The 12,791-nt window shown below is 46.3% G+C and overlaps 1 long non-coding RNA gene across 2 annotated transcripts; it reads left to right on the plus strand.

Moving 5' to 3' along the window:
- On the plus strand, nt 1–11,489 carry LOC105376674 (uncharacterized). 2 transcript variants are annotated; one of them, XR_946894.2, is made up of 3 exons: nt 1–104; nt 6,782–6,933; nt 10,654–11,489. It is a non-coding gene; the product is annotated as an uncharacterized LOC105376674 (long non-coding RNA). The 2 variants fall into 2 exon arrangements; XR_946895.1 differs by lacking the exon at nt 10,654–11,489 and adding an exon at nt 7,482–7,564.
- Nucleotides 11,490–12,791: the final 1,302 nt, after the last annotated feature.

The following is a 12,791-nucleotide window of genomic DNA, read 5'->3' on the forward strand; positions in this document are numbered from 1 at the left end:
ACAAGAGTGAAACTCTGTCTCAAAAAAACAAACAAACAAAAAACAACAACAACAAAAAAGATACCTGAGTAGCCACTGATCCAAGCCAGATGAAAGGCCCGCAGGTAAGATGCGGACCCCACCAGCTTGCCACCCAGCCCAGCTAAGGCCAGTCTGGACAGGCCAAACTCCTGCTGGCCTGTGGTCGTGTGGGCGGTGGATATTACAGAGCTTGAGTTCCAGGGAGTTCTTCTAGACAGCAGTCTTGTGGCAGTAGCTGACATATTGTGCTGTTTTTTTCTCTCTTTTTTGACCACAGAATCCTTTGTTTGGTGAGTAGCTGCAGAACACACTTGGGGTATATCCAGAAATCTATCCTAAGACTCTGCCAGAAAGCATGTTCATAGCATGGCCAAGGCATTTACTGTGAGTGGATGGCCTGGCAGAGGCAGGGAGGGATGCTCACTGCACATTCAAGCCTCTTGCTTATTTCTTAAAAAATCCACCTCTGCAAATTTCATACAAAAGGGGATAGGGTTAGACCAGGGCCATTGAGCACACTTTCCCTGCCTGAGCACAATGCGTGCATCCTTCATGATCAGCATTCCTGTTGTGTGATGTCATGGCCTGTAGAAGAAAGAGGTGGGCAATGTCCATCAGCTGAGAGGACCCTATCAGGGTCATGGCTTCTCGGAGCTAAGGTGCATGGCCCTTGCCACAGTGCTTGGCAGCAATTAGCCAATCCCTTCATCCCTGGGGATCACCACCATGGGTGGTGTGGTCACAGGGTTGGATCTACTGTAATATTCATGGGGCTCTGAGGTTGGTCTTGTGGTTCTTCTTCTTTAGGACACAAATATGCATTCATGAAATGAGATCATCTTTTTCTTAGACTCCCCCTTATTTACTGTAAGACCCTGTCGAGCTGTCACTCAGGGAAAAGAACCTGAGTTATCTCCAGGGCCTTCAGACTTTTGCTCAGATCCTCAATTTGGATGAAAAGAGAAAAAGAAGAGCAGTTTCCAGTGTGACGCATCTGCAGTCCCATGGGGAGAGGCTGCTGGCTTGCTCCAAAAGGGACCTGCTGGGTGCGGGGTGGAACATTCTGGTGGGTTCTCAATTTGCTGCATCCCACGGCGTGGATCCCTGAGGGTGAGGCATCCATGGGTACTGCTGCGTGTGATGGGAACATGGGGATGTGCCATCTCCCGCTACCTCTCCCAGGTGCCCCCTCATGTCTTCCTAATGGAAAACAGCCGTGGGATGTGTCTTCATGACATTGGGATGGCCACACAGAAGCAGGTCACCAGGAATGGCAGTGCCTCTGAATCCTGGTGCAATTGGACCAGAGAGTCAGTATCTCCCAAATGTATGGGAAAGTCCCCATCCCAAGAACAGATCAAGAAAGTCTTTTCTGACTTTTGCCATGGTAAGAAATTGTGAAAGAAGCAAGCCCCAATAACTCAAAGCAGATGAAGTGTGACCTATCTGAAATTTGTAATCCTTCAACCCTATTAATCCCCTGGCATTTTCTTTCCTTCCGGCTTAAAGGGAGGTCGTTTTTCAACCTTTCCAAGCACCACTGGACTTGCAGTGTCCCCAGGCTTTGGGATTAGAAGATGCAGGAGGAAGGGAAATGTCTTCTCTGGCTTTTGGCCCTAGCTCTTAAAGAGGCAGCAAGGGTTGACGTCCACCTCCAGGGCACTGATATTTCTCATTATTTATATCCAGTGGCAGGGTAGAATGTTGGAAGGAAGACAGAGAGTACTGAATCCCTTGTCCTGAAAAAATTCTGTAATATAGGAGCAGCCAGTTGACTTCCCTGTGTCCTTATCCCTCTGTACACAGGACAAAACAGGCCTAGGAGGGCAAGAGAGTGCTGAGAAGGGCCTGGGTGGGCAGAGCATTCCACAGAACCAAGGGAACACTCTTTGTGCACAAAGAACCTCTGTAACGTTTCCTTGCTGCTTTTTTTCCCCCTTCAAAATGAATTTGTCCTGTTTTAGGAAAAGGCACTTAAGGTAAGTCTAACTTTTTCTTGATTTATTTCCTAGGTAGGATCCGAAATAAATGAAAACAGGTGCGTTGTTTGCCAGCTCCTAGATAGCAGATCTTGAAGCTTGAGAGACCTAAATTGAGGAAAATCGAAGATGCAGAGCAGTTAAATGCCTGGCCCTTGCTAGCCGGAGGGGGAACATGGACAGATAGACAAGCCAGAGGTCGGCAATGATAACCTGGGGGACACAACCAGCTCTCCCCTGCATTTTTTCCAATTGTGGTAAAATACACATAAAACTTAACATCTGAGCCACTCTTTTTTTTTTTTTTTTTTAAGACAGAGCCTCACTGTCACCCAAGCTGGAGTGCAGTGGCGCCATCTTGGCTCACTGCAACCTCCGCCTCCCAGGTTCAAGTTGATTCTCCTGCCTCAGTCTCCCAAGTAGCTGGGATTACAAGCGCCCACCACCATGCCCAGCTAATTTTTGTATTTTTTAGTAGAGACGGGTTTTCACCATGTTGGCCAGGCTGGTCTTGAACTCCTGACCTCAGGCGATCTGTCCACCTCGGCTTCCCAAAGTGCTGGGATTACATGCGTGAGCCATCGCGCCTGGCCCTGTTTTATTTTTTGAAAGGGAGTCTCGCTGCAGTGTCCAGGCTGGAGTGCAATGGTGTGATCTCGGCTCACTGCAACCTCTGTTTCACAGGTTCAAGTGATTCTCCCACCTCAACCTCCCGAGTAGCTGGGATTAGAGGCCATGCCACCACATCTGGCTAATTTGTGTATTTTCGGTAGAGACAGGGTTTCACCATATTGGCCAGGCTGGTCTCAAACTCCTGACCTCAAGTGATCTGCCTGCCTCAGCTTCCCAAAGTGCTGGGATTGCAGGCATGAGCCACCACGCCCGACCCCTGAACCACTTTACATGTACAATTCACGGGAATTAAACGCAAATGATGTTGTGCAACCATCACCACCCTCCATCTTCAACTTTTTGTATCCTACGAAATCAAAACCCTGTCCCCTTAAACACTCACTCCACAAAGCCCTTCCCCGAGCCCCTTGCACCCGCCATTCTACTGTCTGTCTCTATAAATGTTATGACCCTAGAGAGCTCCTATAAGTGGAATACTACAGTCTCTGTCCTTTTGTGATTGATCTCAAAGTTTATCCATTTTGTGGCAGGTGCCAGGGCTTCTGTTTTAAGGCTGAGTAATTTTCCGTGGTGTGGATGGACCACATTTTGCTTATTCATTCATCTTTCTCAGAGGACACTTGGGCTTCTTCCTCCTCTTGGCTCCTGTGGGTAATGCTGCTGTGAACACGGGTGTGCAGGCAGCTCTTCAAGACTCTGCTTTCCACTCTTTTGGTATACACCCCGAAGTGGGATTGCTGGATCGTTGGATAATTCTACCTTTAATTTTTTGAGGAGCTGTCATACTATTTTCCATAGCCTCTGCACCATTTTACAATTCTCACCAACAGCACATAGAGTTCTGATTTCTCCACATCCTCACCAACACCTGTTATTACCTGTTTTTTTTTTTTTCCATAGTAGCCACCCTCCTCCCCCTGCATTTGCCAATAAAGTTTTATTGGGACATACTGGGACACAACCACACCCATTCATGTACATATTGCCTATGGCTGCTTTCCCGCTATAGTGGCAGAGCTGTGTCATTGTACAAGACCACTTGGCCCACAAAGCCTAAAATATCGATCAGCTTGTCCTCTACAGAATAAATCTGCCAGCCCCTGACACACACACACAGATTCCTCAGTAGAATTCCTGGATTTGCAGTGGCTTCTAAGATCCCCCAGTGTAACTGAGAGTCATGTGAAGAAACTGTGCTTGATTAAACCATGTCACATTGTGTACATACATCAAAATATAGCATTGAGCCTCATAAATATACACATTCATGATCTGTCAATCAAGACTATTGTTAATACTAATTTAAAAAGAAGAAAAAGGAAGTCAGCTGTCAAAACTTTTCGCCATCAGTCTCCTGGGCCGATGACATGGCTGACCTATAAATGAATGAGCAGGTCTTAGCAGGGGCTATAGTTTCCCCACTCTGTGGCCTCAGTCCATCCCAGTCTCCCACAGCTATGGACAGTTTCCAGAGAGCTGGGTATGAGGGGCCACTATAATTCCATCAACCCATGGGCACAGGAGGCAGTATTGTACACCTCCCACATCTACAAGACTGTCCCCAGCAGGCTCCCTCCCCATGGCTGTGGTTTCTCAGAGGACCTTCATCAGGAGTGAGGCCCAGAGGCCACCCCTTAGCACACTTTTGTTTCTCTCCTCCCTGTCTCTTCATTTTTCTGTTGCCCACTGTGATTCCTGGGTCTCTTGGCAGGTAAACTACCTGAACCCAAGTCCTGTCTTTGGGGAGGCCCTTGGGATAACCAGTCTAAGAAGCTAGTACTTATGAGGCACTTACTCCATGCCAGGTTCTGGGCTAATTGCTTCCATGTGAATATTATGTGTGCCATTTTTCCACATAAGCACCTTCACCCTGAAAACATCTTTCCTGGGCAGGCAGTGATAGCAGTGGGGGCAGAGGCAGGTTTGCTGAAGCCTGAAACTTGTTCAATTTTGAATGCTCTCTTTAAGAAAAATTATGCTGGGACATTCGTATTTGTTTAGAGTGGGAAAATACATTTGAAAAATTACAAATTTTAAAAAGCTGATAAGTGCCACAAACAAACAAATAAAAGGTATATCGATAACATTGTTTTATTTAACCACCTGACACAGCTCTGACCTGGTGCCCCACATCACAGCATGGGATGAGTTGGCCCAGTAGATGATTAGAAAGTTTGGGGGGGTCATTCTTCCATGGGTACCCTAGCTGTTATGGGCTGAGTTATGTCACCCCAAAATTCACATGTTGAAGTCCTAACGCTCAGTATCTGGGAATATGACTGCATTTGGAGGTAGGATTTTTAAAGAGATGAATAATTATGGTGGACCCTCATCCAGTAGGATTGGTTTCCTAATAAGAAGAGGTCAGAACACAGACACACATGGAGGAATGACCATGTGAGAACACAGGGAGAAGACGTCATCTACAAGCCAAGAGACCTCAAAGGAAGCCAACTGTATTAGTCCATTCCTGCATTGCTGTAAAGAACTACCTGAGACTGGGTGGTTTATAAAGAAAAGAGGTTTAATTGCCTCACGGTTCTGTAGGCTGTACAGGAAGCATGGCTGGGGAGACCTCAGGAAACTTACAATCATGGCGGAAGGCGAAGGAGAAGCAGGCATGTCTTACACGGCCACAGCAGGAGGAAGAGAGAGAGAAGAGGGAGGTGCTACCCACTTTTAAACAACCAGATCTCATGGGAACTCTATCATGAGAACAGCACTAGGGGGACGGTGCTAAACCATCAGAAACCACCTGCGTGATCCAATCACCTCCCACCTGGCCCCACCTCCAACACTGGGGATTACAATTCAACATGAGATTTGGATGGGGACTGATATGGTTTGGCTCTGTGTCCCCACCCAAATCTCATGTGGAACTGTAATCCTCACATGTCAGGGGAGGGACCTGGTGGGAGGTGATTGGATCGTGGGGGCAGATTTCCTATATGCTGTTCTCGTGATAGTGAGTGAGTTCTCATGAGACCTGATTGTTTAAAAGTGTGGCACTTCCCCCTTTTCTCTCTCTCTCCTGCCGTCATAAAAGATGTGCCTTGCTTCCCCTTCATGTTCCACCATGATTGTAAGTTTCCTGAGGCATCCCCAGCTGTGCAGAACTGTGAGTCCTTTAAACCTCTTTTCTTTCTAAATTACCCAGCCTAAAGTAATTCTTTATAGTAGTGTAAAAATGAACTAATACAGGAACATAGATCCAAACCATATCACCAACCCTGCCAACACCTTGAGCTTGGACTTCCAGCCTCCAGAACTGTGAGACAGTAAGCTTCCATTGTTTACGATGCCCAGTCTGTGGTACTTCCTTCTGGCAGACCCGGGAAGCTCATACACTAGCAATAATTAGCCATATGGAGAAGTGGCTGTGATTGCAGGATCCATCCCATTGACTCAAACTAAAGATATCCCCAACTCAACTTCCTCTTGGTTGGATCCCCAGCACCCATGGCCACTCCACCAATACCTGAGCCAAGGGTCAAAGGTCTGTGTGACACAGACTCTAGTGGAAGGAGATGGCTATGAGGATCCCTGAAGTTTCATTTTCGTTGGCCTCCTGGTGAGTTCTTCAGCCATCCCAGCCCAGAGGCCACCTTGGCTTCCATGTTTTCATGAGGTCTTGGTACCTTGAAGGAGCTAGTCCAATGTGGATCACTGCAGGACTCTCTGCCGTCGTGGTGAGGCATTTGGTCAGACATTAGACATAACACAGCTGTGCTCCTCGACTCAGCTGATGTCATCCTATCCCTAACCAGCTCTGGCCACCCACTTGCTCAAAAACCTCCAGGGTTCTTCTAGAGTCCTCAGTCTTTTCTGATACTCACATAATTTATGGGATACCCAAAACATGATGGATGTTACAAAAGCTATGGTAGAATTATAGAAGTATAGTTACTGTAAGACCTACAAAATGAGGGAAAAGGAAAAAGGATGGTTTTAAAAGATGGAGTGAAACAGGTCTGAAATCCCAGAGCATAGGAATAAGATTATTGTAATAACCACAGCCTACACATTTGCATTCTACAAAGCACTTTCACAGGCTGAGGGTGTAAACAGATTTCAAAAAGCTTTGCTTAAACTCATTAGGCCTGGGAAGACTATTAGAATATCCCCATCATGTAATCTCTGTTTTACAGCTCAGAGAGATCAGATAACTGCTCACCATAGAGAAGCTCCTCGAGAGACTAAGCCTGGATACAAATGTTGGCCTTCTCACTCCAAATCTTCTTCCTGCATTCCCACAACAGGCTCAGCGGGGCATCATGAGACAGAAAAGCAAATGAGAAAGGTAGGTGGGACCACTAGTGGGTGGAGAGCTGACTCCCAGGCGGACACAACTGGAGCACTGAGGTGGGGAGGCACATTGGACAGGAGCTGAAGCCCAGGGGGTTGATCACATCAGGGACTCATCAGGGAGCCATTTGTCAAATAGGGTTTGGATTGAGGAATTCAGCATTGTCCAGCTGGCCCTCCATGCCCGCTGCCTGAGCACTGAGTTCACCTATGCCCCTCCCTGGGCAATATCAGGAAATCCAGACTTCTCTCTGGACCACTCTGCTGGGCTCAGGAACTGCAATGCTCTCAATGATTCATTGGAGATGTCCACAGGGTGACTCACAGACCTTACAACTCAACACCCCACCACATCCAAAATGGAAGTCAACTTTCCCCAGTCCCCGTGGGTGCCACCACCTTCTCCTTTGTCAGTGGGGGTCCCTGTTAGAGAATGACACTATTATGCAACCCAGGTCATAAGGGTGGTGCCCTGATGCTTATAAGAAGAGACATCAAAGAGTTTATCTCTCTCTCTCTCTCTTTCTGTATTCTTGCACCAAGGAAAGGCCATGTGAGGTCACAGTGAGAGGGCACTGACCCACAAGCCAGGAAGAGAGCCATGACCAAAAACTAACCATGCTGGCATCTTAATCTCAGACTTCCAGCCTCCAGAACTGTGAGAAAATAAGTTTCTGTTGTTTGAGCTGCCAGGTCTGTGGTCTTTCGTTATGGCAGCCTGAGCCCACTAAGACATTTGGGTTATGAACATCTTCCATTCCCACGTTCATGGTGGTGTCTCTTATATGATTATTTTTATAAGATAATCTTACAAGAAATCTTCTATTCAAAAGTGGTCAAACATATCAACCTTCTGTTTTCTGGTTTGTTTTTTTCATCTTGTTTAAAAATCCTTTCCTATCTGATGTCCTGTGAATTGTCTCCCCTGTTTTCTTTGGAAAGATATTGCACTACTGGCTTTTTATATTCAGGTGTTTAATCCATCCAAAATGTATTTTGTGTACATGACACAGAGGAGCACTTCTTCTCCAAGCCCGGCATTTCTGCCCATTGGAGAGAGCTCCATGTGGGCGATCCTGGAAGCCTCTCTCCAGCCTCTTTCCTTCACCCCAGGGAAGTTGAAACACTCACTGGGTTGGCAAACCTGAGAGACAGCGTTTGTTCAGCAACTTCTTTTTGGCTCCCATAAGCTAGTTCCCTGCACACTCTGTGCTCCTCCTGGATGGACCCATCCTTTGTAGAAAGGAGGCCCTGCCCTGTCCGAGTTCCCTGGGACTGGATGGGAGCTCTGGCCATTTCTCGGGGGCAGTTAGAAGAACTCATCACTATGCCGACCCCCATCCTCCATCTCAGCCCTACCCATAATAGAGGTGAAGTTGTAGACTTCTACAACACCTTGGTCCTAGAGTTTGTTTTATGTTTCCATGTGTTCAGAAGCCAGGGGAGAAAAGGGTGCTGTGTAGTCTGTCCCCTCAAAGATCCCAACAGGAAGGGGTGTAGTGGTAACGTGTCCATGTAATTTCATCAGGAGGAGATCGTTCTTACCCCTCTGGTCTAAAACTGTAACCTCTCAGTGGGTTCACCTTGCCTGCTGCCCAGACAGAGCCAATTGATTAAGACCGGGGAAGTGCAATGGAGAAAGAATAATTCACGCAGCACCAGCTATGTGGGAGACCAGAGTTTTACTATTACTCAAATCAGTCTCCAAAGCATTGAGGGATCAGAGTTTTTATAGATAATTTGGCAGGTAGGGGCTTGGGAAGTGAGTTTTCCTTGCTGTTTTCTGTTCCTGGGTGGGTTGGCAGAACTGGTTGAGCCATTTTACTGGTCTGGGTGGTGTCAGCTGATCCACCCAGTGCAGGGTCTGCAAAACATCTCAGGCACTGATCTTAGGTTTTACAATCGTGATGTTATCCACAGGAAGCAATTTGGGGAAGGTTCGGATTCTTGGAGCCAGAGGCTGCATGACCCCTAAACTGTGATTTCTAATCTTGTAGCTAATGTGTTAGTCCTGCAAAGGCAGACTGGTCCCCAGGCAAGAAGGGAGTCTTTTCGGGGAAAGCGTTATTATCAATTTTGTTTCAGAGTCAAACCATCAACTGAATTCCTTCCCGAAGTTAGTTCAGCGTACACCCAGGAACGAACAAGGACAGCTTAAAGGTTAGAAGCAAGATGGAGTCGGTTGGTTCTGATTTCTTTCACTGTCATAATTTCCTGAGTTATAATTTTGCAAAGGCAGTTTCAAAACGGTGCGTCTGTCCTAGACCGGCTTCCCAGATGCAGGTGGATTTGTGTCTGGTGCTATCTTTGGTGCCGGAGGTCTATTTTTCTCCCATATTTCAATCACTGGAGCTTCTGTCTTCTGTCTCAGCATGCAGTAAGGAACATCCCGACCTTTCCTTTTTCTTCCCCTTTAAAATACTCTTGACTCTTCCCAAGTTTTTATTCTTTCATACAAATTCCAGAATAGGTTTGTTAAATTTTTTTAATTGAGGTTTTTATTGAAATTGCATTGACTTTATAGATTAATTTGGGAAGGATTGGCAATTTCTATGACATTATATCTTTTTTCTCCATTTAGGTTTGCTTTCATTTTCTCTTACCAACAAAAGTTTGTCATCTCTGTGAACACCTTGTACTTCTTTTGTGGGGTTTATTTTCAGTAACTTGTACTTGTTTTCCAATTGCAAATGATATTTTTAAAGTAATATTTTTTGTTATTGGTTGTTGCCAAACTACAGGCATGTTAACAGTTTTGGGGGTTTGCACCTCATAACCAGAAGCTGTGCAGAGCTCTATTATTTATACTGAGTTGATCTCTGTTCTCTTGGGTCTTGTGCATTGTCAGTCATAACAGCTACGAATAATGATGGTTTTTGTGTCTTCCTTTTAAACCCTTGTAACATTTATTTTTGTTTTTCTTGTCTTACTGTGCTGGTCAGGACCTCCAGCACAAAGCTGAATACAAATGCACCTCCTTTTCTTGTTTCTGATTTTGAAGGGGACTGTTGCTGGCATGTTTCCATAAAATGTAATGTTTGCCACATGTGTTCTGATAAATATATTTGATCACTGTGGCTTTCATGAACCACAGTAAAAAACAAAACAAAACAACCTTTTGACTCCGTGACTAGTGCCCATGTACCTGTGTAAACAGACGTATACCTGAAACAGACACGACCCCAGATGTTACTTATCCTGCCTGCATGACACTTGCTCTGGCGGTTTCTATTCTATTCTATTCTTTCTCTTACATGAAATATGCTAAATTCTATGATTTTTCTCATATCAAAAATGATTACAACTCTAAAATGCATGGCAACCCATAACTTGAAAATAATGACAACAGCAACAATAGCATTGCTTTAGCAGGTTAAGAAGATGAGGAGATTTCTTCTACTTGTAGGAAATTTATTTCATATTGTTTTTAATCATGTATTGGCTTGTTGGGAAGCATGAGAGGAACAGACGGGTTAAGGATGACTCCAGGGATCTGGTCTTGGGTCCCTGGAAAGGTGGCATTGTCCTCTCCTGAGACCGGCACTAGGAGGGAGATGCCAGGCATGTGAAGTGTCCGTCAGCCCTCCAGGTGGAGGTGGGAGCAGGCAGTGTGCAGGAGCCTTGCATGAGGGGAGAGGCTCAGGCTGGATACAGGTCCTGTTCTGTTACTTCCTATGACTTTCATTGTTTTAACCACACTTGTGTTTTCTTGCAGGGCCCCAAGCTCATGCGCGCTCTGACCCTCTTGTATGCTTTCACCCACTTATGGGAGAATGGGTCCTCACATATCTCGAGAAGGTTAAATGGAGACTCATCTTCATCATGGGTTTGGATTCCCTTGTGAGGCTTCCACGGACATACGGGGAGGGCTTCTCCAGAGAGGGTTTGGATTTGCTGCTGTCAAAGGGAGGCATCCCTGGACCACATTAATAATTTGAAGCCGAACTGCAGACCTGCACGTGGCACAGCTCCAGGCTGTTTGTTGTTGGGGCAGATTTTTATTTTTTCATCCTGAACCCAGGTAGAGGTGTCTGCATTTCCTCATCTCTCCCCATACAGGTGGTGTCTACAGCATCTCTAAGGCTGCCACAACTGACGCAGCACTTTTAGTCAGGGGTCTTGCCTCTGAATCCCCAGTTGCATGGATTCATTTGCTGTTGACACTTTGGTGTTAAAGCCCAAGTTCTTGTTTACAAACATACCTTTCCACTTCATCTACCTACTTTACCTGCACACCTCACCTCCTCACCTCACCGTCTGTCTCACCTGTACATCTCACCTACCCACCTCACCTGACCACTTTACCTGTGCACCTTACCTGCACATCTCACCTCCTCACCTCACCTGACCACTTCACCTGCCCAAACCACCTCCCCATCTCCCCTGTACATCTCACCTGCCCATTTCACTGGCATACTTCAGCTCCCCACCTCACCTGCCCATCTCACCTGCGCACCTCACCTGCCCACTTCACCCTGGAGCAGCAGCCTTAGCTCAGGGCTCACCATATTTGCTTTCAATTCTGTCTTAATGCTTGAGACCAGAGGGTGTCCTTTCCTCCTTGGGTGCTCATATATGCACTTACAATAGACTTTTGTTATCTTTTATCCAGCATAGCTGGGGATAACTTTGAGGTCTTTGGTCTGCCATCTTGCCAGAATCACAAGTCCTCCAGAATAATCTGTCTAAACACAAATATGACTGCATGATTCCCCTGCTTAAACTTTTCTGGATTTACCCCTTCCCCTCAGGATAAGGTTATTACCACTTTTTGGCCACATGACTTGTGCTGCTCCCGACGTTGCATGAGTGTGAATTTGAATCTGGACCCTGCTGCTGGCTCCTGGGCCTCAAGTTTTCCCCTCTCTCTGAGCTGTGTTCACAGTGTTCATCATCTTTTAGAATGATGCATATCATTCTGGACCCAGTGTTTTAACAGATGCCAGCCATAGGTGTAAGAAAGCACACATTCAGAAAATGAATGTTCAAATTGAATAATAAAACATCAATAAGCTTATGAACAATAAATAATTTCTACCGTAGAATTCAAGGACTTATGTTTTTGTCATGTGCTTTTCTTCAACCATGGCATATTTTAGTTGCTTTTCTCACGGGACTAGCATGAGGCCCAGCCACCTCACAGCTGATGTCACTGTATGATGCAGATATGTGTGTCCATAGCAATATCGGGGTTCTAAAGCTGTCCCATGAGATCGCCTCCCTCTGCTCATCCAGACACTGACCTAGGGGCTGCTGTGAAGGGGTTTGACAGACATCATTAAGTTGACTCATCAGCTCACCTTAAAACAGGGAGATGCCCTGGAGTATCTGGGTGGGCTCAGTGCAACCACATGAGCCCTTCAAAGCAGAAGAGCAGCTCACAGAGATGTGGCGAAAGAGCTACCAGAGAAAGGTGAAGTGTGAGAGGGATTTGACTTACTGCTGCTGGAGGGGCTGTGTGGAAGGCACGAGAATGTGCTTGTCCTGGGAAGGGATTCCCCGATGACAGCCAGCAAGGAAATGAGACCTCAGGGAAGTGGAAACTGCGGGGTACTACATTTGACTGACAACCTGAGGGAGCTTGGACATGGTATCTTGCTCAGAGCCTCCAGAAGGTCAGAGCCCAGCCCAGCAGACACCTTGATTTTAGTCCATGGCCCCGCTGAGGCCACCTGTGCCTGGACTTCTGACCCATGGGATGATAAGACAGAAGTGGATGCTGGTACAAGCCACTAAGGGAGTGGCACTTTGTTACAGCAGCAATAAGAAAACCAGGACATATACGGGCATGCTGGAATGATCTCTCTTTTTTTTTTTTTTTTTTTTTTGAGATGGAGTCTTGCTCTGTCACCC

Source organism: Homo sapiens, chromosome 1 (genome assembly GCF_000001405.40).
Source record: "Homo sapiens chromosome 1, GRCh38.p14 Primary Assembly".
In the NCBI taxonomy this organism is placed as follows: Eukaryota; Metazoa; Chordata; class Mammalia; order Primates; family Hominidae; genus Homo; species Homo sapiens.